General features: G+C 38.9%; 1 protein-coding gene across 52 annotated transcripts in view; it reads right to left on the bottom strand.

Moving 5' to 3' along the window:
- The window catches only part of RBFOX1 (RNA binding fox-1 homolog 1), a 2,473,620-nt gene that overhangs the window by 14,907 nt on the left and 2,430,728 nt on the right, over positions 1-27,985 (bottom strand). For 20 of the 52 annotated variants that reach the window (NM_001415888.1, NM_018723.4, NM_001142333.2 and 17 more), the window contains one exon: positions 21,596-21,660. In NM_001415888.1, the coding sequence (NP_001402817.1) occupies positions 21,596-21,660 (65 nt within the window). Of the gene's footprint in view, positions 1-5,066; positions 5,120-21,595; positions 21,661-26,834; positions 26,878-27,985 lie in introns of all 52 variants that reach the window. The other 32 variants (NM_001415887.1, NM_001364800.2, NM_001415895.1 and 29 more) reach the window with 3 other exon arrangements.

Genomic DNA, 27,985 nt, shown 5'->3' with positions numbered 1-27,985 from the left:
ACAGAGAACAGTTTCAACAGCTTTTGCAGATTGTTCATTTGCTCAAGGCTTTCTTGCAGACCCTACCCTCACCCCACATGGTTGTGTCCCATACTCATCAGGAACTGAGATGAAAACATGTCCCCAGATTTGCTAAGGGAATGCATGGTGGGTCCTGGCATGGTGGAAGGGGCATATCTTCCTGCTAGTGAGTCCCAGCCTCCACCTACCCCCTTTATACACACACACACACACACACACACACACACACCCTCTTGGACTCTGTGTCTAAAACAACTGTTTCAACCTGTCTGGGGTTTTCAGGGACTAGCATATTGTTAATTGTTTTTCAGCCACTAACTTTCAGCAAAAAGACGTCTGGTGAATTAACCTAGAACACACTTGGCCTGTTTAACCCTCTCTTCCCTAATACGCAACATGCTTCCTGACCTGACATCTGCTCCCTCTGTCCCCACAACTACACCAGTACTCCCAGCACACGGAACTAAACATATGCCTGCTGCCTGAAGGGGACAAGCCAAGTTAAATAAAATTCCAGTGGAACAACTGCTAAAGAATCATACAGTGCCCTTGGGTCTCTTCCAAATAGTAACAACTTTGTCATCCGACTCAAAATACTAGTTTCATAGGAGCAAGATAGCATACTGGGGAAGGTAGAATTCCATCTGGAGTGAGAAGGCCAAAGTTCCAAGGGTGAAGAAAAAGGTGTGTGTGGAGGCAGTGTGACCCAGGGGAAGGGTTTTGGCATCAGATGGACTCCAGTGTGACTGGGCAAGCTACTAAATGTTTCTGGACCTGAGTGTATGTTTTTTTCACTTTCCAAAATGGGGATAACACCTCGTTGAACTACTGTGATACATATATACATGCATATATAGTTTATCATACATATGCATGCATTATACATATACATGCATGTATGTATATCATACTAGCACACATAATTTGCTCAATAAATGACAGTAAGTTACTATTACACCTTGGAGAGTTCAGCAAAGCCCTCAACAAGGGACAATTACTACAGGGATAAAGGGTTTGCTTTCCTCAGGGATTAAAGCCTTGGTGCTCCATGGAATTAACTGATAGACCCTTAGAACAAGAGTGGGGAGTGGACATTTAACAGACTCGAGCTTGTACACTTCTAATCTGCCAGTATGTCCTGTTTGTTCTCCCATCAAAATACAGCTTAAAGATGACCACTTCTCACCCACAGCCACCCCACTAACCCAAGCCATTGTCACCCCTCTCTGGACAGCTGTAAGGGCCCCCCCATTGCCCTTCGGTGCTGTTTCTTCTGTTCTTTGGCAGTTTGGTCTCCACAAAGCAGTCTTATCTGATCATTAAAGTCAGATTACAACCCTCCCTCCAATGCCTCTGCATCACTGTTAAAATCCCAAATATGTTCTGCAGCCTCCAAGTCCTAACTTCCTCTGACCCCTGTCTACCTCCTAGATGTTATCTATTAAACTCACCTGTACTCATATCCGTGGGCCACACTGGATGTCTTACTCCTGGACACCTCAAGTATGTCTCAACCACAGGGTCTCTGCACCTGCTGTATGTTTCATGGGTCACACGTTCACTTTATATTTAGATCCCTGCTCAAATGTTACCCCCTCAGACAGGCCTTCTCTGATGGCTGAGTCTAAAATAGCATTGCACCTTACTTTCCATCCCCTCCCCTGCTTTTTGATTCATTACAGTAAGTACATAACTTACTATGCATATATATTATCTGCTTATTCATATACGTGCTTTGGGATCTGTTCTCCCATACCATGAAGGTCTTTTGATGAGACCTTCTCCTGACTCATTTAATGCTATGTCCCCAGGGCTTAGAACAGTTCCTGACACCCACAAAGGACTAGAGATATTAATCGACTAAAATGAATTTCTAGTCACTGATTAAGTAACTTGCTTTTCAACCTCCATTCTCATACCAGACCCTTCTTCTGCAACTACTACAATCACTAGCCCACCCTGGAAAATTCCTAATGAATCACAGACGGAGACCTCCCGTCTAAGAAGGGAAAATCATTTACTCCCTTTTCACCATCTATTGAAGAATCCAACTCATCAAAGGTTCTTGATGTTACTGAATGAGGACCTACTCAGTTGTCCAAGCTGGATGCATTAGGAGGTGTCCTGCCCTGTTATAAAAGCCTAGTCCCAAGTGATACCCAACAGAGCACACATTCTTTGGGAAAAACCAAAACAAAACAACACAACTAATAGCATTGTTGAAACTCCTAGGTAAGAAAATAGATATCCTTGTAAATTAGTCTCACAGACCACAAATGTTAATGAAAAATGCCTATTCCATGTGGCTAGAAAAAGCAGACCAGATGTGTTGGCACTCTCGACACAAGACCCACGTAAAAGGCATTGCTTTTCTTTGGGAAACGTGAAGAACAAATCCTGAAATGCTGCTGTTCTACTGCTTAATGATTTTCATCTCACTATCTCCACCCGAAGCCCCTGATGGCTGCCTATGCTTAGCCCATCCACCATGGGCATCAATGTGACAATAGCACCTCTTTATAAGAATTTCAGTTATAACATCCATCAAACCCCACACTGAGATTTTAAGCATGTTGATTTTTTTTTCTCCATTTAAAAATAGAGAACTTGTCTTTTGTCAAACTCTGATATCCAGTAGATAGCAGGATTCAATACACCTGCTCTAATAAATGTTTTTATAAGGAGGTGAGAGCTCATTACAGTAGTGCTGTTTAGAATGTGGGTAGTGGGCACAGCAGGATTTTTTTTTTTTTTTTTTTTTTTGATGGAGGCTTGCTCTGTCGTCCAGGCCGGAGTGCAGTGGCGCAGTCTCTGCTCACTGCAACCTCCGCCTCCCCAGTTCAAGCAATTCTCTGCCTCAGTCTCCTGAGTAGTTGGGATTACAGGCATGTGCCACCACACCCGGCTAATTTTTGTATTTTTAGTAGAGATGGGGTTTCACCATGTTGGCCAGGCTGGTCTTAGACTCCTGACCCTCATGATCCACCCACCTTGGCCTCCCAAAGCAGGTTTTTTCAGCATGTAGGAGATGATGCCCTAGAAGGCTTTCACTGAAACCACGAGTTACAACCTTTGTTGACTGAGCAGTTTTGATTTTTCATTTTCGCTCTATGAGCAAGGTGAACTTGCTGGGAGATAATCTGACATTTGATGGATATGGGTGTCTCCTTTTTCATGCTTCATTCAAAATTCAGAGTTCAAACGGAACCTTATGAAGCATGCAACATAATATTAAAATGGCCATCAAAGGACTAGGGATATCTCTCTCAATCTGAAATGTGATCAATAGCAATTCATTAAGAATTTACTGAGCAGCCATCTAGATTAGGTAGATGGAAACACTCACCACACGCATGCAAACTTTCATTTTCTGTCGCCTTTCTTAGAAATATTGTGTGTGGATCACTTGCTTATAAGGCAGGGTTTAAGTCACGGGGCAAAATCAATATCTTTTTCATGTTTGATCTAAGATGTCCAAATATAACCTAACATACTGGAACATGCACAGGGGTTAACAGAAGGCAGAAGCTCTAGTGCACTGAGGCATCTATACATGAGGCCTATGAACATTTTAAATTAACATTATTCCCCACCCCTACCTCCCATTCCAAGCGGTCTCCCCTTTTGTTTCATGCTCCATTCCACTAAGGCTCTGAAAATGTTAAACAACTTTTGTATTGCAGGAACATTCCCTGCCACTCCCAGCAATTCAATTAACCATTGCACCTAGCACTGGGCATTAGTAAAGTGTTAAGGATGTCGCCACCTCTCACAATGAGAAGCAGAGATACGAGTCTAGGGGTTAAGAGGGAAATTGCAGGACCATCAGCAAAGAGGTTTTATAGAAAGAGTATACCATTGTTTTAAAATGTCAGCATGCATCATGCATACCTCTTGAACTCACCAGGTAAGACTTTAACCCGTTATGAAGGTTGAGGCTGACCATATAAATAAAACTGACCCTGCCTTTTAGAACAGAGATAGTTGGGTGCATGTTCCTAGCTCTCTGTCCTTCCTTTCATTCATTCATTCTCACCAAAGGCAGTAAATAGGGAGTGAAACATTGGCACATAAGCCTTTTTTTACTGCAGCATTGATAAAAGGTAACAGATGAGTGTTTATTTGTAAGGTTCAGTTTAATGTATGTGTCTGAAGGTCATGGGATGCTCAGTTATGTAGTGATAAGTTGTAACGTCCTCCCTCGCAGGCTGAAAGCAACACATTGGCAAGACTTCCTAGTGATTGTTTTGGTCATAGTTTAGGCTTAAAAACGACAAAAGGAAAAAGAAGGAAATCTAGTGTTAAGGCATTCACCTATCTTGGCATTTAATTAACTCCATACTAATCAAAGTACAAATTTAACTGTTCTGAACCACATCAAAGAAAAAAGACAGGTGTTATTTTGATGGACGTATCATGCAGCTATGCAATTTCCATTTGCCAATGTCCTGGTTTCAAAACCAAAAGACCTGGTCTCTCTAAGTCCTGCTACTTGAGAGATGTTTTATAAGAAAGGAAATAGAGGATCTTTGGCTAATAGAATGAAGATCCCCTTCTTATAAGACAGAGATAATTATATTCTCGAATGCCTCTAAGCTTTATAGATTCAGTCTTTTACAGCCTCTAATATTCCATAAAGATCCCAAATAATTCACACATCAGTCTCTATGAACCCAGACATAACACGTCAAAAAACATGGAAGTCATACGTCTGTGTACCTAATCTTCCTGTTCCCTATTTTACCATAAGAGCACTGATTATACTGTAAGATTTTCTTGTGGATTCATTCAACATACTCTTACTTTTCTGGACCATGTATTATTAAAACCAGAAATAAAACATCAAAGTTAGCAAAATGCCTAATGTCGTCTTATATGGCAGAGCCTCAAGGCTTCAGCTGTACTCCAAAGATATAAGATCTTTTTTTTTTTTCTTAACTAAACTTTCTAGAGTGACCAACTGCAGCATGTGAAGAAGAAAAAAAAAAAAAAAAAAGGATACTGAGACTTGGATGGATGCATCAAGAAGTAGCAACGTTTGTTACCTGCAGAGGTGTTACAAGAAATTTCATCTGCTGCAACGAAGACGAACTGATTTCTGGAAGAGAAGATAAAATTCACAATACTGCTCGCTCAGGGGGAAATGTGCTCTCTGCCAATTGCTTCGATGTGTACAGATGAGGGGAGGGAAGGGTGCTGCGTGTGAATGGATGTTGCGAGGAAATGTGCTGATGTACCTCAGAGTTTAGAAAGATCATGAAATAAGCATGCGGGGACCTCTTAAAGTCATGGTAATGTCAGAATACGAACTATGTACAAGCTGTTGCACCAAATATTAATACTATGTGTTACCAAAACATGCCAGGATATGTTTCTAAGGCTAAAGCATTTCAAATTGTGCTCATATGACTTTCTATGCTAAAGAGATTACTTTTTAAAATGGGACTAATGATTAAGAAATAGGGTATACTACAGCTAGCTAGAAAAATTATAAAATTCTAGACTTATAATATCAAAAAAAAATAAGAAAAAGTGCTGTCATTTCAGAAGACAATTTTATATGGTGATGTGTTATGGATAATAATTTCCTCATCAAACCCAGCTTGCTACATAGAGCTAAGAGAACTTGTCAATTGAAATAAACCCTAATTATTTTTAATGATGCAGTATTAAAAATAATGAAAATAGAAAATGCTATTTTACTTTTAGTAAACCCAGAAAGATGATAAAACTCTCTTAAGACGTTTCCAACTGTGACACTTCCACGATATTATGTGTTCTAATTCAGAGGTACTAATTCGTCTACAAATAAGATCGTCTGAGTCAAATTATAAAAATGGCACAATGAGGTTGGCTAGGTTCGTAAATGCCTCAAAAGTAGCAGTACAGGGGCTCTGGGTTTTCATCGGTTAGATTTTTATTATGCTTATGGATCACCAAGAACCAAGATAAATGCATTTTTCTTCTTAGTATGATTGGTTTTGTTCAAATGTTTCAGTGCTTCAAAAGGTATCTAGTGATGGAGCATTTCTTAAAACATCTTAAGAAAGTTTTACTGTTGCAAGAGGTACACCCTGGAATATAAATAGAGCTGCCATTTGAATATTCCCTAGAATTTCACATTCAGTTAAATTCTAGTCATTTCTACACCAATAAAATATAAACAAGTTATACATGCTTTGAGAATAATATTTTTAGTACTTTTCTCCTACATAACAAGTCACAACTAAGTTTATCACTTTCCTTAAGACAATAAAAGTTAACATAAGATTTTGGGCTTTTTGACACAGACTTTTTGAGCCGCATGAATATCTGGCCCCAGATTCCCTATGTTAGAGGAGCAATAAAATTTATCCCTGAAAACAAAGGAGATATTTTGGTTGAATATTTGACTTACTCACCTTTGACTTATAGAAGGGGCAATAACACGGGAATTCCTAACTACAGGTATGATATTCTGGGCTGCACAAAACAGGCACTTAGAATAACCTCTATTTACAGAATGCTCCTAAGAATGCTACCGTAAGCAAGAATGGCGACATGATTTATCCAAAGCGGCAAGGTCTTTGCACTAGGCATTCACATATCTATGGCAGGAGGGTGGGGCAGCTCTACCCAATTTCTACTGCCTAATCCTAGAACAGATTGCTAGCTTGTGTTCCCTTTCTGCAATTTTCCCTAAGGAACTGTCCAATGTGCTAGACATCAGGAAAGCCACTTGGAGACAAAAACAGATGTAAAATTGTGACTGAACGAATAGGTAACTTTTAAAATGCAACCTACAAGTATGAATAGAAACAGCCCTCTAAGAAACTAGGCTTGTTTTTAAAAATTGTTTCAGAATTTTATAGTATGATGGTGTCCTTGAAAGTATTCTTTTTGAGTCTGCACTTAACCTTAAACTACCCTTTTTCCTTCCTCCTTTCTTCCTCTTTTCCTCTCCTACCCTTTCCTTCCTTTTCTCCTTTCCTTTCCGTTTTCTTTCCGTTCTTTCTCTCCTTTCATTTTCCCTTCATTCTTTCTCTCCCCCACTTTTTTTTTTTGAAAACCTATGTGTATTGATTTTTATTTTATTTTTTACCCCTGGTCTCTTCTTGATCCCTAAGTTTCAGAACAAAAGGGACTACTCCCTTTGACAACTCACCCTCTTCAAAAGAGTTGGCTTAGATTACTTCTGACTACAAATTCACATCTGTTTCAAGGCAGAGTTCTCAATAATAGTGACATTTAAAAGGAGTTAACAGCTACCAGTTAAGTATTTTTTTGACGTATCCATTCTGTACTATTTTATTTTTTAATCCACATAAACAATCCCACTACATCCCAGAAAGGTCACCATAAGGTGTCAGAAAGTGCCTTTCTATAGAGTTCATTAATTAATTCCATGAATTCAATCTGTGTGATCACTACTTCCCTGAACAATGCTTTCATCAATCGGTAAGTGCAATTAACAGGAAATGTCTGTAAAATCAGATTGGCTTTGGTGGCCTGCAGTGTCAGGACAACAGAAGAATTCTGGTACAGTTCTAAGGGGAGATTGCATGTTGCTGTCTATATTCACCATGTTATGCCATTTTATGTACAGCTGTTTCACCTTGAACATTAAGACTATTGATTTAGAGGGCCCATAAATGGATCATCTATGACCCTCTCTCAAGCCATTTGCCCCAGATGACCAGAGACACATATGATCAAAGAGACGAATGTCTCCGCTATATCCAAACAACTTCAGAAAAATTAAAAGATCAGAACAATGCAGGTATATTCTGGACAGTGGGGCTGCCTCTCAGGAGAAGAAAGAAGGCTGGTACCAGGGTCTGTCTCCTTATGCAAACCCTAGTGTGCTGCTTTCTCTCAACACAGACCCGTGAATTTAAACTTCAAAATGCACCTGATTTTCCACAAACTGGTCTGTTCCTTAGTTGTTCATAAAACAAGTCTGGCTGAGTCGTTCTCAACCTTGGCTGCACATTGTAAATAATTGGTGCACTTCTAAAAATTTCTGGTTACCAAGCTACACTGAAGACCAATTAAATGGTAACCTCTGAAACTGGGTCTCGGGCCTCAGCAGTTTTTAAATGCTTCCAAGTGATTCTAATGTGCTAACGTTCTTCGTTTGAAAATCACTTGTTGAGGTGAATGGTCCTCACCTTGGCTGCTCCTTAGATTCATAGAGGTTAAGAGAGTGCCAGTGATAGGGCCCATTCCTGAGGTTTCTGCTTTAATTGATCTGGGGTAGGGCCTGGAAAGTAGTTCGGAAAATGCTCTATAGGTGACTCTAATATGTGGCCCAGCTGAGAAGCAGTGTTATGGCACCAAGGCAGAGGGATTCAAGAGATTCAAGGAAGTGGATTCAAGGAAGGGATTCAAGGGAGTTGAATCACTGAATCTCTTCCAACTTTGGTTTCTACTTTTGCAGCTTCTGTTTGGCCACCATGCTTGCCTCCAGGGCAACCTAGCTACTTAGGTTTTAGACTATGCAACCACACAAACCTGATACAGTATCCAAGAAAGGGTACTTCTAGTTTCTAGATGCCTTCTAAGAGTTGACTTTAAACCTCATCCTGAAAGAGAAACTGCTCTACAGTGGCCATATCATACTCTTGGTATTTGAGTTCTTCCTTACCTGTTCCTCTTAATGGACCACTTCTTATGCATTTACTCAAGATCATCCTTGCTTGGGTTTTTCCATTTTTCTTTGAGTTGGCCCCTACTTCTGTATTTTCCCATTCCTGTCACCCACAACTTTTCTATATTCTACCTCTCTTCCACTCCAAAATTTCTCCAACTTCCCTGAAGATAAGAATGCCTAGAGTGCTCATTCAAGGTATAGATTCCTGGGTTTCAACTCTGACCACCTGAATCAGAATTTCCAGGAGAGAGGTCTGGTAATCTATACACTTAATAAGAACTCAGGCCTGCCTGTTGATCAGCTCCACAGGCACTCATTTTCACTGTTCTGTAGGTAGCAGATTCTGCTGTGAGGGAATCACGCCTCCTGCTGCTTCTTACCTTGAAGTTTGGGCAACCTTGCTGAAAAATCTGCAAGTTCATTCCCATTTTCACTTCAAAGCTCACCTGTCCCAGGAAGATTATTTTGAACTGGGAAGGCTTGGTTGGGGGTGGAGAAGAGGAAGGATTACCAATGTATGAAAAATGATGAAATGGCCAAATTGAGTTTAAGGGAGAAGGCTGTGTTTGTCTTGGCTCATGGGAATGTTGATTGCAACGGCTACTATCTAACACTGATGGGGCACTTATGACTGCAAGTTGCCAAGTGTCATACCTATGTATTCATTTAATTTTTCTTATAACCCTTCTTTTTATCCTCGTCTTGTAGATGACGAAACTGAGGCATGGAAAAGTTACATAATGCGAGCAGCTGTTAAGTGGTAGAGGTGAAACCTGAACACAGTTGGCTTGGCTCAAGACCAAGCTTTTACTATCTAAGGTTCTGCTTGGAACATTCACGTAGGGGGTATTTAATCAGCAGTGAGGTGTGATGTCTCTGTGGAGTAACTTAACATTCTGAATCTTCATTTCCTCTAAGAAATATTTGAACTCCTCTTTGAGAATAATTGAGAGAAAGAATTAAAAACATATTCTAACAACAACTTGATTATGAAATGGCATATGCCATGGTCTGTCTCTTTCACTCTTATGTCACTAGCCTGACTAATCTTTTAAGATGGTTTTATAGATCAACCATCTATACTCTATCTGCCTCAGCTGGTGGTACACTTAAATTAGTCCTGTGGATTGCCGCATATCACCCTCATAGCCCACTTTTGTTCCTTAGGTTAAATCTCATCTCTTGGCAGTTTTCCTTCTGAAAAATTACCCACAGCTGAATTCTCAGAGTTAAATTAAAACAGTAGCCAGCCTGTGTTGCTGGAGGGGACATGAGATGCTAGATATCAAGTCAGAGAAAACTTTTGGTGCGGGCAGGTGGGACGTAAACATTCCCCATAGCAAATAATACTGTCTTTAAGTCTTATGGGCAAAGATTCTGCTCACTTCTCATTATTTGGCTTCTTAATTCTGTTACATTGCTATTGTTAAATATATCTCAGGATCGATATCACTCATAGCAAGATTCTTCTTGTATCCAATGCTATGAATATTGAATCTCTCTCTCTCTCTCTCTCTCTCACACACACACACACACACACACACACACACACACACACATTTAAACCTGCCAAGGATGCCTACTAGGCAATCCCTACAGCTGAGAAGTTGGTCTTCTGGCCTGGTAGATGGCAGCCAAGATGCCCCAGGATAGCAGTGGGACAAAATCCAATTCTACCTGTACGTATTGGGATATCTGTTGTTTATAAGGCAGAGGTTTTTAGCCCTGACTGCCCAGCCAATACTTTGTTTTTTAATAAATATTCAGCTAGGATTGTTTTTTAAATAAAATACCAATGACCAGGCCCACACCCCGGTCATTTAACTTGAGCATCTTTGAGAGTGGTTCCCATGTACAGATATGCCTGAAAAACCCCTGGGGTTGATTCTCATCTGTCAGCCAGCACGGAGAACTCATCTCACTGTATGAATACCTCTCTGAACATATGTATCTTGCCTCTTCAGGAAACAGTTGTGTCTTTTGGGTTTAAATTGCACTAGTGTTGATTTTTAACATTTTATACTTAATATTTTAATTGCTAATTATACTAATTACAGTAGTTATAATTAGTAATTGTCTTATAATCATGCTTACCAGGTTGCTTCCTTTTTTACATGTAAAATTAAGGTGGAAAGTCACAATAATCAGTTTATTCTTGTTGTTAAAATTGCTAGACGTGCCATATGGAACTCAGCCATGAGTGTTTTCTGAATATTAAACATAATATGCAGATAGGATGTACCTATTAAAATTCATATTGCTGATCTTACCAAAGAGTTGACTCACATCATTCAGCCCTCAGATTGTAAATGAGGGGCTTGCTACATATCAGGCACTGAGCTAAGTCTAAGGGGTCTGATGCTATGCTCATATCCTTTAAATCACTGGAGTATCTTGGACTTGCCTGTCTGGAAGCTCATAATCTAATTTATATTTCAGTTTTATCACCTTCAAAGGGAGGTTCCTTGCAATCAGTATTTTACCTCCTTTCCACATAAAATACTAATACTCTACTCCAGAATGGTACAAATCCCATTCAGATTCATATTTTTTACCTGCCCTGTCACTTTTATTCAGTTTAGTGTTGTCACGTGTACTTCAATACACTGTGGCAAATTGTAGAATGAGACAGGGTATACACAGACAAGTAACCAAACAGATTGATTATAGAAAGCTCTCAAAGGTCCTACACCTATCTCTTTTTGAAAAGGGGGAACACATGAAAATACACTTAAAAACATTTCATTTAGACACAGTTCCTATTGCTAACATGATATTCGTAAAGAAGCTTAAACAGAAAGAAGATAAGGTCTGTGAATCTCTCCCCAGTTTGGCTATTCTACCAAAAAAAGATCTGAGTTTTGGAAATTCAAACCCAAGTTCATCTCCATTACTTGGAGACCTTGAACAGTTCCCTTTTGTCATTTTAGTTCCTCCAACATTTAACATTCTCCCCAGTTCCCACTGCACTTCTTGTCTAGGCTCAGGTGAAAGAGAACCAACCGTGAATCTGAAAACCATGCTTTGTTGCATATAAGCTGTATTCCAATAGAAAATTCATTTCACCTGTCTGGACCTCAGTTTCTTCATTTGGAAAAATTGAGATATAAAAACAGTACATGCCCTTCCCAGACCTTTTGTGCAAGTTGAATGAGAAACAAATGTGAAGTCATTTTATTGGTAGAAAAATTGGCTTTTTCTTTTTTTGTCTGTGTAGACTCCTAAAGGAAAGTCTCTTTCTCTCTCCACCCAAAGAAGAGGGCAGGCAATTGGTTTTACAAAAATCCAAAGCGGTGATAGTTCGAAGGCTGGGTTTATACTGGGAGATTGGGCATTTCTTCTACAAAGCTAATGCATGTGTGGTGGCCTAAGCTGATCCATGAGCAGAAAAGATAACAAATATCCAAGGCACAGGTTGAAAAAGAAGGATAGGATATTTGATCTTGCGGTTCCCAATTTCTATTCCCCAACCTATGTTTATATTTCTAGGGTAGAAGTCAAGATTTTAAAACAACCAAAAACAAATGTATTTAGTCAAAAATTATTCTAACTCATAAAACCCGTTTCCACAGGAAACTCCTTGTTTTTTTTTTCACTCGAGAACAGAACACGATAATCCCACAGTTCAGTGATGCTGCTGCTGCTAATATCCTGAGAACTAAGTGTCAGGATCTCTTAGAGGGGCTTTCTGTTCATGACAGCAATGGATTCTCACAACCACGCAAAGAAGCAATGGTCATCCATTAATCCCACTTTATAGATGAGGCAGTTGAGGGTCAACTAGCTCAATGTTGGCCTGCCCAAATTATCTCGTGTAGTAAGTAACCTCACAGAGATTCAGGACCCACGTGTAAATCTCAATCTGTAATCCTATTCTCTGTATCAACAGCAATGATTTGCTAGTGCATGTCTATATCAGAGTAGGTCCAATGAGAATAAAAGATCTGATTTCAAATCTTGACACAGTTACCTACAAGACCTGGGATGCTAAGCAAGGCACAGGTTCCCAGAGGGTTAGTGTTACAGTGTGTCTTAGAGATTGCCTAGACTAAAAATAACCTTACATTTTTAAATGCATTTAATTTAATGTACTTGCTACTGCCTCTATATATTCACTGCAAATACTAGCATACATTCCAAAATATGTCAATCTGAAACCGAGTTATTGATAACATTTGCACCACCTCTTTCAGTTTATAATGTTCACCTTCTTCATCTCTTTCTGATTCTAATTAGTACCATGCTTTCCACTTAGCATAGGAAAAAACTGAGGGTCAGTAAAGTGAAATCAGATGGAACTTTTTCAGGTACTCCTTTATATTAGCGTGAATCTATGCAATTAATGACACGATGTTAGCATAAATAACTGTTTCCGTCCACGGATCTTTTGGGGTAAAGAATTAATTGTGGCCCTGGGCCAGGAGAGGGAAGAAGTCACTCAGCTGTTGATAGTTCTTACTCTCTCATTGAAGAAGGGAGAGTAGAGAGGCAATGGTAATAAAAGTCAATAATTTATAAAGATAGATCCTCTTATCTCTTGCAAGGTTTGTGGCAGGACAACCCTTTGTCAACATTATGGCATATCGGGGTAGAACAGAAGCTTGTTCTCTAAAGTGGGGCTTCTCAAACTTCACTAGTCATTCTGGAGTCTGGGAAGTGCAGCTTCTGGTTCAGCACGGCTGGGACTGGGGTTTGGGATTCTACATTCTCACAGGCTCCTGGTGAGCCCAATGGTGTTGGTCTGGAAACTACACTTTACAAGGCAAGGCTCTGCAGGCTTTTTAGATGATCCACTCAAATCTTGAAATTTCAAAACAGAACAAGTTAATCCTCCTTTTCCCCCATTTGTTCATTTTCTAAGTTTGGGAGACAGAAATGGAAGAAAACAAAAATAGTGGGGAAACGATCATTCTGAAAAAACAGGGAAGCTGGTATTGTCCAGGAAGAATTATTAAAGTGCCTCCACTCCCACTACCTGGGCTCATATTCTGTTTGGTAGTAGTCATCCACAAACACTCTAACAAAGCAGAAATGGTGGAAAAAACAAGTTCTTCATCTCTTAATACATTCTAAAATTTTAAATTACAAAATTGAAACCATGAAAGGCAAGAATTGAGAGGATGTTAGAAGCATCTAACAATCATGTTTTTTTTTTTCTTTAAATTCCAGGTCCCCAAGACCCGTTAGAACCACTGATTTAGCTTATCATATGTGTGGCATATTTCTATAATCTCAGGCCAAAGCATTTCAATCTAAATGATTGGGATAATTACGAGAATATTTGGCTTTGATTATGTTTCAGCTTTCAGAAATCTGTTAATCTATTTGAACAGTCACACATCATAATGTATCAATAATTAGCTTGGAAAAAAAGAAAAGTGACTAGTTACTCCTTCTATTCTCCCTAGTTTTTGCCCCACAGACTCCCATCCCCTCAAATTCCAATAGTGGCCCCTATTCTAAATGTTTCATATGTTAATTAAATATGAAATTCATCATAGTTTTTGAGAAGTGCCTAATTCCACAGGAACCAAGCATTGTGATTTACACCAAGGAAGCCATAAGTCATTTCTGTCTGGTGACTGCTTACATGCATGTACTACACACAAAAGTGGAAATAAATTAGAGGCCACATTGAAATAGAAATCAGTTCTTCTGGAAAAGAATTTCAACTTGTGGTAAGTACAGAGTCAGAACTTGCTTTGATAACTTAAAATGAAATATTAGACACTTTTACTGAAAAATTTCATCTTATCTTGAAAGATAGTATACTACCATCCATAGTATACTACCTAGTGACATAAAACCCAAACAAAGAACAACGTAACAAAGTGGAGCGGTTTAATTTTTATTGCCACATCCACAAATGCTGCATGAGCTAAGATATTCTATCTTCTGCTTTACTGGATTACTGTCTTCTAGAATGCAGGTTTTTTTTTAGCAATAGAAATGGCTCATTCATAGGGCTTTGCACGTATATTCTCAACAGAGCTACACCTAGAAAGCATTAGGCTTTCCCAACCTGCCTCTAAACCCTTCACAGCTGAAGGGTTCTGATGCTGCTACTGAAAAGACAGGCTTTATTTCCTTTTTTGTGGCCTATCAAGTCAATGATCTGCGACCTAAAAAGTGTGTAATTAGGCCATGACATGACCAAAGGAGTTGTTACACCTTGCCTTGTCACTGGCAAAAGTGTCTACCCACGTGGCTGTGACAGCTACGGTCTGTTGGGCTTGGAAATTCCTTTAATCTCTCCCCAACTCCTTGGTGGTCCAGTCTGTTGACTGTTACAGGATTGGTTCTTTTTTTAAACTGATTCAATTACATATTCATCCAATAGTGCATAACAGTTGTTATGAAGCCATTATAGATTATGGACCAAAGGCAATTAGTTCTTGAGAGAGAAAGTTGAACACATTTTCTTTTAACGTGTGTGTGTCTGTCTGTCTGTCTCTGTGTGTGTGTGATTTCTATAAACTAAGAGAAACTCAGGAAATATATCTATCAGTTACAGCCATATTACTTCTCAGTACTGAGAGCTTGACATGCATAAACCCAATTTTAAAAAATTACGGTGACTCTACTATCAAAAGCTGAGATGTACCTTCCCTTCCTCACTATTTCAGAGCCATCTCCATACATCAGTGACAGTCTACAGAGCAGATCAGGAGGAAATAGAATTATCTTAGTTATCCTAATTTTTTGGAGAATATACAATCAACATCACTTTAAGAGGAGCACTGTTTTATATATATATATATATATATATACACACACACACACATAGAAGTATTAAGAAATTTATCTGGCATGTGTGCTTTGTAATAGGAATCTCACAGGTATAACTGTGTGTTTCTAGTTACCCGAAAGCTGTCTAGGACAATTGCTTTCACTTTTTCTTCCTAAGGAGAGTCTGAATAGGCAAAAACCCCAAAAAACAACAACAACAAAATGGATCTGTTAGGAAAGTAAACTTTAAATGAACAAGAAAAAGTGTGTGTTTATACATGTAGATATGTATAGATGTACACGTGCTCAACCTGGAGTTCTAACTAAAACCTGGACGTGCTTTTCTAGACACAGGGGCACAGGAGGATGTAAATAAAGGCATGAGTGACTCATTTCTGCTACATTCTTATTACAACTTGACAGATCATCTTTTTTTTAAAAAAAATTATAGAACCCAAGAGAGTTCATCAGGTTGAGTAAAAATAAAAGATTAAAAAAAAAAAAAACTAAAACCAAGAACAGCTTCTTCAAAGCACCATCAAAAATGGCACAGAGATATGACTTTGGCTTATTTGCCACGTATTGATTCCACAGCCTAGACTCAAACTTGCAAGTGGCTTCTCTCTGCCTTTGGGTCTGTATCCCAGCTGGGAAGATGGCATGGAAAACTCTCCCATCCCTTCTGAACCCCCAAGAACTCCATCCTCAGTTCCTTGTTGATCTGAGAATACCATCTCTGGCATGGCCATGTTTTACAATGCTCTCACTATATTTTTCCAACAGATTTCTCAGAGACTGCAAATGTAAATAAAATGATACAGAGTCTAGCATAAAGTTGCCAATGTTTACTTTGCCAAGGAAGAACATGAAAAACAAAATTGGATGTCTAAAACTACCGTTTGCTATTGTTCTAATTTTATAAATCTTTTTAAACAGCATGTGAGAAGGAAGAATAGATACAGCCTATTTCCCAGAAAAGAGGGTTGACAACCATATTACATGGTTGGTGTTCTTCCGTTTTGATAAACCGTAAATATGCCATCAAAGGCAGGTGCCAGGTCTTGAACTGGCCTTGGGAGATACTGCTTTCAATACGGCACTAGAATAAGATCTTGAGATCTCTCCTTGCCACACATCACAAAGAATAAGAACAAGGGCTGCTACTGCTGTTTAGCTAGAAATATTTTCAATCCCTATCAAACTTGGTTCAGATAAGAGGACTGGGGAAAGCAAAGCAAGTGCCCCCTTTGTCTGCTTTGCATGTGTACTTTCATTAAGGGTTCCAAATTATCCACAGGTTAAACTATATCCTATCCCATGGGAAAAAAAAAATGAAAACATAATGTCCATAAAATACAACATCTTCTTAAAAAATTAACCTTCCTACAAAAATAAGCCCTTAAATGGTAAATTAAATTTTCTATTCAGGATGCTCATATACTTTATATGCTGACAATTCCTTAATTTTTAGTATATATCATCGGATAAGAACTCCAATTAAAATGGAATATCACTGTAAATATACTTATTTGCCTGTCTATTTTCATGACAGCCTTTCTCTACTACTTAATCTGAGGCCAGAAAAATTCTAAAATAGACAGGAAGTAGCCTGCGCTAATGGAAATCAACTCAAATCCTTTTACTTTTTTAGTTCAGCTTGTACAATCTTTTGTGCATAAGGATTTAGTCCTATTTTCTGTATTTAGCTTATGATGAAATATTAGAGGGCAGAAAGATGGTCCCTTCCTTGCTTCCTTCCCTCTTTTTCCATTCATCCACCCACCTATGTATCGATTTATCTCCATCTATCCATCTACCCATCCTTCACCCATCTATGTATGTGTAAGCATGGATGTATGTATATGTCTATCTCTGTCACTTAAATAATTTTAAAATAAGACTAAATCCTCTATGAACCTGAAAATATGCCTACTTATCCTTACTAGGTTCTAAGAAACACAAATCTGTCTCTGAAATAGAACCTTTTATTCATAGGTTATGAATGTCATATTTAACTTACGTTCTCTAGCATGTAGTTTGTGACCACTTGAAATTAACAAGCCCTGGTCTCTTTGCATTAAGCTTTACCTGAAAACACTTATAAGTCCCTTGTGAGGCCCCAAGGCACAAGTGAGTGTGTGTGTGTGTACGTGTGTGTGTGCAGAGAGGAAGATAATATGGCATTTTATTTGGATTTCTATTAAGTTGAGCTACGTAACATTTATGTAGATATATGTATATTTTCATATTACAACAGAGCCAATATGTCATTTTTGTCACACAAAAGTAGCAATTTCTAACTCTACATTAGCAGTGAAACTTTAAGGCCTCAGAATCCAAAAAGGTATACATTAAAACAAAATTATGTTGGTTGCCATCTTTTGCTCAGTTTAGAGATACCTGTGTGGCCTGGTGCCGCAATTAATGTCAAAAGCTTCTTGGCTTTCATGGATCTTTACAAGAAATGCATGTTTTATGTGGAAGAAATGGCCCCTGGTAACTATCAGTGTAATTGGACTGTGATGAAATCTGAGTGAAAAACTGTCTTGCTTCCGTCTCTAGGCGGTCTGCATCTAGCTACTTTCAGCCCTGACGTGGAGGGACATTTTCATGCACTGATCATTAGGAAATGTTAAGAGTGTTAGCAAGCAGGACAAGCATGACAAATGTCTGTCTGTCTGGGGAGATAACACTTTCATCAAAGCCATGTACACATCACATTTTCCCAAATATTTGTGGCACAGTTGATCAAACAGGGAATCTTTTCCACCCCCTCCGCACCTCCCAGTTTGGCTGCTTCAAGATGCAACAACAACCAAGTCATAATACACAAACCATGAGCCAATCAATAAAGAGAAGCCTGCCCCCAGGCTTAATTCAAGCAAGCCATTCATCAAGCTGATGTGATGGACCTGTCCAATCCAGAACGTATCACAGACACATCAGCAACACCAAGTGGCATGCAATGACCGGATGACCAAAGGCCCCTCTGCCATGCTTCAGTTGGTTCAAGCTCAGGAAACGCTCTCCTTTGAAAGTTCAGACAGTTGGCTTTGCATAAATCAAAGTGAGATTAGAAATAAAGATTTGGTGAAGGTCAAGTGCTTTGCCAAATGTTTCCTAAATGCCAAGAAAAGATGTTCACCTATTCCCATTAAATTTGTCAATGAGACTATAAAATTACCTAGTCCAGTCAGGTATTTTTCTTTTGGGGAAATCTCTGCCCACACCAGATGGTCTTCTTTCTGGAGGTCAACATTCAGAGACTCTCAGGTTGCTCCGAGATAATCAGCATGTGATCATTTAACCAAGAAGATGATGGGCAGGGAGTTGCAAGGTGCCCATTAAGGACCTTCTGGACAGTCCTGAGGTTACTGGAGTTCAATATTTTTCAAAGATCCCTGAATCTTTCATTTGATGAGGGCTTAATTTGTGCTGAAAAAAGGTAAAATCCTACCAACTGGGGACATCAAACTTCTTTTGCTTTCAAGATGTCTGAAGAGTGAATCTCATGATTACAGGGAAAGTTTGTTGCTGTTTCTCTTTTGATCAACTGACAACCAGTGAGCATTACCAAAACATTCTCAATGCCTGCTGATTTTACTTCCTATTTTGGACGAAGTTTTTCTGTTAAGTTTTTCTTTATCTTGCCTGTCTTCTACAGAAGAGGAACTAAGCTTCCATCACTTACTGATTCTATGCTGTGATGATATAAAAATAATTGGTTACACAATTGCTACTTCTGAGAGAAATTATAGGTACTTGGCATCTTTAATCTAGATTCAAAAGCTATTCTGATAATTTCACATTTTCCCCTAAACGTGTCTTCTATAAAAAGGTATTCTTTCTCAATATCTGCTTATTACAGATAAAAGGAAGTAGCACCATTTAATAGACATTTTAAAACATCAGAAATACAACTTTAAAGATTGCTTTCTGTCCATTTACTTATTAATTAATTTACTTCAATGAATAATACCATGTGGCAAGTGTCTTGCTTATGATAAAGTTAAATAGGAATAGTTATCAATTTCCACAGCAACCAAGAAGACCAAATGTGCAAATTTCTCTAATGAACAACAAGAGGCCAATTATATGGACAACAGTATTAGTTAGTTGGTTTCTTCAACTGAAACTATGGTACTAAAGTTGGAATTGCAGTTATTAAAGATTCACCAATCCAAGAACAAGGGCAATCTTTCAGTGGGACATGTTGCCAATGAGAAATCTGAATAATATCAAAATAACAGATTTTACATGTATGGTGTTCCAAAATGCAGAAATTTAAAAATGTTTAGATGAATGCAAGTAGGGATGGCCAGAATCTCAGGTAATTCTAATAGCATTAAATATTGTTAATTGTTTAAATGTCTAGACCAGTCTTATTGAAGGAGTCCATTTAAATCATATCTTTGTAATCTTTTTTTTTCAACTTGGGGATAGATGCACTTATACTGAAAAGCAAGATAAATCAAATCTGTTTAAGATTCTTATAATTATACAGCAGGCTAGAGTTACTATGATTATAATTATATACAAAGTGGGTGTTTGAGAATTTAGCATCTAGAGATATTTTCATAAAAAATAATTAAGGGTTGCAGCTGAACCACATTACAATTGATACTTTGTGAAGCTTCAGTGCAGAATTTAATAACATTAGGCCTTTTCCTTTGTAGAATGATCTTGAGTATTTCAAGATTGTCATCATTTTTATTAGTCTTATTGACCCTCTCTACTTTCCTAATCCAGTGTCAAAGTGTGTTGGAGATAACAACTTACATGAAACACATTTTGCATCTTGGCAACTGATTACTCGGTAAATGTATAATTTATGTATTGAGAACCTTGTCTTGACAATTGTCTGGATTTCTCTGAAGGCCCCCTACAGCCTTGAGAACTTGTTATGGCTGCTTATAAGAAAATGATACCTGCATAGAACCAGATAGCAGATCTCAACTCCATCTTGCCAAAGAGCCATTTGTTACAAGTGTATGCATGGGGTTTTCAAAATGCAGCTTTTAGGATTCAGGGATTTATTCTGCTTTATTATATTGCAAGAATTCTGTAGCTACAATTAGCTAACACCACGTCTCGTGAGAAATGGAATGGAACTGCAGAGAAAGCACACCACAGCAAACCGAGGTAGGAACTACATCACAACAGGCCAGGTAGGAGGACCAGAGGCTGCTGACGCTTCCCATTCAGGAGTCAAATACATCGCCTGCTTACCTGTCTGACCCAGCATGCCCCAGCCACACATGCAAATTGTTATCATTGTTTTATTCGTGAAACATATTTTTAAAATAAAGGACTCATTACCAAAATAAGCACCCTCAATGACATTTGTGCATGCAGAGCATCTGAACATTCACATTTATGTCCTCAGAAAACAGAGCCAAGGAGTTGCATTCAATATGAAAACACACACTTTCCTTTTCAAGGCAACCATACAAAAGTAGCTACGGCTTGCTGTTTCAGGAACCAACTCATCTGTTCAGCCTGGGTGATAGAAACCCCTGATTTCCACCCCACCCCCGCAACCTGCCCATCCATTCTGACTTCTGCATTCCTCAAACACACTGTGTTCCTTCCACTGCCTGCCTTAACATGTGGTGTACATTACAAATAAAAGCTGGCTTATGTTTGTAGGATTGGACACTGGGCATTGCTAGAAAGAATCAATCTCCTTATGAATGCCAGGGACACTCTCCCTCTCCTTTATTTAGAATTGTAATAATGCAATGGAGGGAATGATTTATTGGGTATAAGACCTTGTAAAAAGGAAAGGGGCTTGAAATTGAAGTAAACCTTGTAGGATCATGGTCTGTTTTTCTTCCTATGAGTTAGATGAAACCGTGGTCTTATGTGGAAGACCATAAGAAGGTTGTACGGTGTGTGTGTGTGTGTGTGTGTGTGTGTATGTGTATGTGAGCAAGGTGCGTTGTCACAGAAATTAAGAGATGTGAAAAACTACACAAGGACCAAGGCTATCATTTTCTTTGTGTCTCAGCAGAGAGAGTAGTTTAGAATTGGCTGAAGCATTTGCCCTCTCTCTATGGGGACTTGAGTTCACGTTCACCATGGGACCTAACTTTTGGGGTGCTACCTCCCCCAGCAGTCATGCAGTTTCACCAAGACCATACAAGAATCTCCTCTCCCATCAACTAAGTTAATTTACAAGTAGTTGTCAAGCACAAGAAGGATGACCCTTACCTGTCACTGTAGGCAGCGGCAGTGGCAGGGGTAGGCTGGGCGTAGCGGTATGCAGCATAACCACCCTAAAACACAAGGAGAAATGTGACTCAGGAATGTAGCGGAGCCCAATGCAGGGATGCCCAGTGGCAAGACCACACCAGAGCAGCTGTTACCCAAATCTACTGAGCTAAAGTTGAGGTTAATGAAAGCTTAGTATCAAAGCGAAAATACAAAAACACCCTGGAGAAACAAGGGGTGGAATACCAACCCCAGCTGGATGTTAAAGGTTAGCGGTCATAAGCACATCCCAAAAGAAGAGCCTAGAGGCCCTTGGAAGAAAATGTACCTAAATGTTAATGGCGATTGTCTTGGGGTGGAGAGGATTATGGGGAATTATTTAAATACTCTTTATACTTTGCTGAACTTTCCAGATTTTCAAAATTGTTTCTGCTTTACCTTTATCAGATATTAACTTAAATTTTATTCAAACAGTTCTTATTTTCTTATAAAGTGAATGCTTTCCTGTCTTTTATATTTATTAAATCACCCTTTGATTGAAAGTTTATTAGTAATCTCTTACCTATCTGGTTGTTAAACCACTAATGTTATTGAAGAATGTCTGTAGCTGTCTAAATGTTACACAATTATTACAAAAATGACTGAACATTTCTTTTTGGCCAAAGATATCACATGGTTATGTATCATGCTGCTTCAGACGGAGAATTTGTTTGGTGTGGAAAATATGATAGTCTTCTAATTTGTAAATAAAATCATTAACAGAAAAAATCTGAAAAGAAAAAATAATTAACATTTAGTTGTATGTACCAGTAATTGCAATTGTTCAATTAAGCAAAGAGGACGAGCAAATAGGCATATTCAAAAGGAATTGTGTTCAGTGGAGCGTTGATGATCAAACTGTGAATATAACAGAGCTTCTTGCTCAGTGGACCACAATGATACATCAACCAGTGTACAATGAACTCAGCACAGTTAAACAGGATCCAGTGTCCGCTGATAACACAGGACCATTCAGGTTCTAATTAGAACACACAGTCCCATAATCCTCTGAGGTAAGTGTCCTCACCATCACCATAAAGGGGCAACTCAGGACAAAGTAGTGTGTGAGAAGGTATACAACAGCAGAATCATGAGAGGGAAAGGTAGGTTCATGGCATTTGGCTTCATGAAACTAAATACGATAAGACATAGATGAAGCAGGGAAGCTACAAAAAGCCTCTTTCAAGATGTAGGTACACGGGTCTCAATTTCTTTCTGCCTCTTTCCTGCACAGTTAACTTTCAGAGTAAATATGCTATCATTTGCACAGCAATTCAAAGAAACGAGTTTATCTTTTAAAGTTTATTCTTTGGATCAGTCCTGGAGAAGACACATCCAAAACATCCTGCCACATAATCACCAATAATTTAGAACCAGTTTTTTTTTTTTTTGTTTCCCTTAAAGAGGTAATGGAAGTTAACCACAACAAAAAGAGGTCTTAGCCAGATGCCACCTGGTGTTCCAAATACTATGTTCTCCAATTAGGAATGGGGAACTCATTAAATGTGCTGAGGAGTTATAAAACCAAAGCAGTTATAACAGCACTGAGTTCAACAGAGTGACGGACTAAAGAGAAATTGGGTCACCAGGTTTATGGAGCCATTTTTCTATATAGCTTGTTCATCTTCTTGGCTTTCATAAAGTTCACAGAAAGATACAGGTGTGCAGGTACATACATTAAACTTAATGAGGTAGGGAGGGGCTAGAACTGGCTAGCTGATTTCCAGAAGACATTAGCTGCAACAGGCTTAAAGTTTTGAGTGGAGAGAATGTGTGTGGTATGAATGTGTTTCTCTCTGGAACAAGAAAAAGTATTTGCAGCAATCAGATGCCATGTGAATCATGATTTGGTGACTGAATTTGGTCCCACCAAAGATGTCTAGCAACATCCTATTTGCAAGCCTCTTGGTTTGAACTTTGCATATCCTCCACCTTCTGCCTTAGTTTCAGTCAATGGAAGAAGGCAGCGAGTCCGATAAATGGGAAGAATTGCTGCGGTGCAAACAACTAAATGAACCACACTGACTAGTAGGTTATGTATAGTAGAAACATCAAATGCAGGTGTGTACACCTGGGATTCCGCTGCACAGCAAATGTGGTCATCTATGAAGGTCTCAAAATGACCTCTACTCTGTTTGCATATGACTTGGCCAGTTACAGAAAATGTGTGTTTCCAGACAAGACGGGCACAAGTCGTCAATATTCTGATATTATTTATGACTTTATTATCTAGAAATTTGCTTGTGAGCATTCCTGATTCCAGGGTTAAGATCACAATTTCCTTAACTCTCCAGAGCCAGCGGAGAGATTTTAAACCTTGATCAGTGGTCTCATTGCTGTGCAGTAGACCACTTGGAGATGAATGTTCTATATCTGTGCTGTCCAACAGAGTAGCTACTTCTAGTAAATGACTATTGAACTCTTGAAAGGTAACTAGTGCAATGAACTGATTTTTAAATTTACTTTTCAGTTAATTTGAATTTAAATGTAAATAGCCACATGGGGACTGGTGGCCAAAGGATTGGACAATACCAGCCTAAATGATCCCTGAAACATGTAATAATTAGGGAAAAAGGGATTAGGGTGGTTTTATCTCTCCTCTATCTTTACTGCATGGTCTTCCTTTGCTATTTTTCTTCTGTATGCAATTCATACTAGGGAAATAAGAGTTGTGTATTAACTCAGTGTATGTGTACATACACTGTAAAATATAAATTGCTTTACATACAAAAATACAAATTGCTTTAATTTTCCTAACAGGTGACTTGAATCAATTTTATCGCTCTGTATTTTGCAGCTCACTGAGCATATCCAGAACTTCTTCAAGGTTCCACAGTGATGTCTGTAAAAGGAACACTCACTTTCAATTGCTGTCACCAGACCATGTTCATGTTGAACCTGGTCTTCCGAGATCATTTGACAAAAATGTGTCATTGACAATTAAATTTTTCCCACCACCAAACCAAAGGAACGAGGCATGACAAACACAAAATAGTTCTACGCTCCCATTCATGAAACATTTATTTCTTCACAGGATGGGCAGCAAAATATAAATGTAACCTTATATAAAAATTTCAAATTGTCATTGTGCATCTTGTTGCCACCACCACCAAATGAGTGAGGCCACCAAAGTGATCCACTCATGTGGACTGAGAAGTTTCCTTTGTTAGCAAAACCTCTAGAGGTCCTTTGAGGTAGTTACCCATTAAGCACCTCAAATGATGCTCCAATAAAGCATTTTGTTCTCTTATTACTACTAGAGATGGGGTCTCACTATGTTGCCTAGGCTGCTGTCAAACTCCTGGGATCAAGCGATCCTCCCAATTCAGCCTCCCAAAGTGCTGGGATTACAGGTGTAAGCCACTGTGCCTAGCTAATAAAGCAGTTTCAAAATTATGCTTGTGGGGTATTAATGGTGGCAAGGAAAGGAAAATTTCCACAACCAAACTGGTTTGGCAGATGCTCAGTTAAATTAAACTGGTTACTCTGTTTGTGGAACTCCTTGGGACAATATTCATGAACACTGAGGGACCTCCAAGGCATCTCAGAGAATTTGAGGCTTAAATCAAAGTTTTCACTTTAGATCACTTTTGAAAATAAATGTTCTACCGGCCAAACAGTGAAATAGGGGAGGGGAAACCTGTGTGTGCTAGGGAGACGTGGGCGTCGGTAGGACTGTAACATGTACGTGTTACGCATGCTTCCTTCAGCTGGAGTGCATAGGAAAGTAAATCAGCTTAACTAGGGGTAAAGGCTCCCTTTATGATGAAAATATGCAAGGGTCAAGTCTCACTTGGTGCAAAACAGGTGTGCTGGTATATACACATACAACTTAAATCTTATTTACTATATAATACTTATAAGAACATTTTAAAATGAAAAATTTATCTCCCTAATTTATCTATATGTTCTTTTTTTTTTTTTTTTTTTTTTTGAGATGGAGTCTTCTCTGTCACCCAGGCTGGAGTACAATGGCGCAATCTCGGCTCACTGCAATCTGTGTCTCCCAGGTTCAACCGATTCTCCTGCCTCAGCCTCCCGAGTAGCTGGGACTGCAGGCATGTGCCACCACGCCTGGCTAACTTGTATTTTTAGTAGAGATGCGGTTTTGATACATAGGCCTGGCTGGCCCCGTCTTGAACCCCTGGCCTCAAGCAATCTGCCTGCCTTAGGTCTCCCGAAGTACGGGGATTACAGGTGTGAGCCACCACACCTGGCCACATCCATCTATTTTTGAAGGGTGGCAGTTGGAGGTCCAGTTCTCTTGAAATGTGACAGTGAAAGTTCATCTCAGGAATTTTAACCATATTGCTCTTTACTAGGTCAAAGTACCTCTTTCTCACATTCAGGTTTTAATTAAAACTCAGTCAATTCTCATGGTTTACAAAAAGTACTTTCGTAATTCACTCATAATACTGAAGAAAAAAGGGAATTGCAGAGATAGGGAAAGTAATGTCCTACAACTCTCACTGATCATCCTCAGTTTGACATTCATCTTATTTGACGGTTTCAATGTGGGTAATAGACCAAATTTGGAGACTCTAGGCCAGCCACATTCCAATGAATATGTTGACTTTTTTTCTTCCTACAAATTTGTTCAGTTGGTGGTTGCTTTAGCAGTGAGAAATAGGTTTAAAAGCTATAACAACAGGCTTGAAATAAATTTCTGATCAGCTCTACTAAGACCAGGGAGGGTTATGTTAGATGTCAGGTATGCTGGCCCTTAATGTTGCACATGAGATTCTTGATTTAACCCCATTCCGGTTCACTCTGGGAACCTACTAAAAAATTATCCAGACAATTGGTTCAATTAGAACCTTGAATTATTTTCATTGGATTTATACTGATTGAGTCCAGATAGCTTTTAAACTAAAAAATTAACAGCCAAGCTAGACCACCATTTGACACACTCAGGATCTAACAAAGCTCATGGCTGAGGCCAGCTAACAGCACTCAGTCATGGAAACAGCACCCATATTTGGAAGAAACTGCCACAACACAGTGGATATACTGATAGATACAGGGATAGCCACCTCACCTCTATTCTAGGAGATTTCATATTAAAACTGGAAAATTCAGTTAAGTCTTTCCTCCTATGTTAGAGAACTGTTCCCCTCCCCAGAATTATCTTGTTAGTAAGGATTTCACAGCAAACCCACAATCATAGTGATGAGTTTCTCCACCAGTCGGGATTTCATACCTGCAGCAATTTATTGCCATACACAGGCTCTTGATACACTACTCTATAAGGAAACAGAAATGTAATGTTTTCAATGCAAAAATGAAATAAATAAAAGAGAATGCATAAGTCAGACAAATTCCAGAGCAATTCATTTACAAGTTTGCTTCTCTCTTACTTCACCAAGCCTTGGGACTGGCCCACCAAGCTGAAAGGGGCACTGGGCATCGACAAACATTTTTAGTTGCAAATCTCTGCAATGGAGAGTATCAAGGTGGAGATGGGGATCAAACCACTTTGTGTTATAACTTGTGTTTATTTCTAAAGAAGAAAAAGATAATTTCATGGCTTCTTGCCTCTTAAAGCATATTCCAACAGTCCAAATTAACTATTTCACATTCATCTCTTTATCTCATGATTGGAATTTTCTGGAATATCTAAGGATTTAAGATGAATGCCTTATTATTGAAGTAGTTAAGAAAACAGCACAGTAGCAACCATAACTGCATAAATGCCTTTACTTGTTAAATTAATTTCAACTAACAGCAAAATTGCAGTTCATGAATTCATGAATTACACTGAAGCTACGATGGCTCCTTTTAATACTTTCAGACTAGAGAACTGTGAGTATATATGAGTGTGTGTGCGTGTGTGTAAACTAGTGTTAATATACATATCAAAATGCTATCATTTCATACAAATCTAGCACTGGCAAGGAAGGTCTCTGTAGAATCCTTGTGCGGACTAGGATGCAGTTTTTTGACATAAGAGTCATTCATGGTCAAGATTAATCTTCCATGTGAGTGGTCACAGTTTGAAATAAAATTCTCCAATTCTAGGGCAGACACTGAGATGGCTGAACACTTGAAGAGACTGAGGGACGTACCCTATAAAGGCTTGTGTATACTTTTTCCTACATAGCCTGCCTTTCCAGTTTAAATTTGCTTCCTTATGTTAAAAGTCTAAGCTTACGGAGCGATGCCTGATAACATTCTTGTTCCTCTCTCTCCTCCTTTCGCTCCTAGTTCACTGCTTACTTGAATATTTCCAGTACAAATATTATTCTCAGTGGTCTAACCACCCCGTTATGCTTTTACTTCTCTCCCTCTTCCTTTCCCATCTTTCACCGTACTTTTCAAATATTGCTCAACTAGCGCAATGACTTGAGTTTG

The sequence above is a fragment of the Homo sapiens genome, chromosome 16 (genome assembly GCF_000001405.40).
Source record: "Homo sapiens chromosome 16, GRCh38.p14 Primary Assembly".
NCBI classification, from domain to species: Eukaryota; Metazoa; Chordata; class Mammalia; order Primates; family Hominidae; genus Homo; species Homo sapiens.
This window is presented reverse-complemented; position numbering and strand designations above follow the sequence as displayed.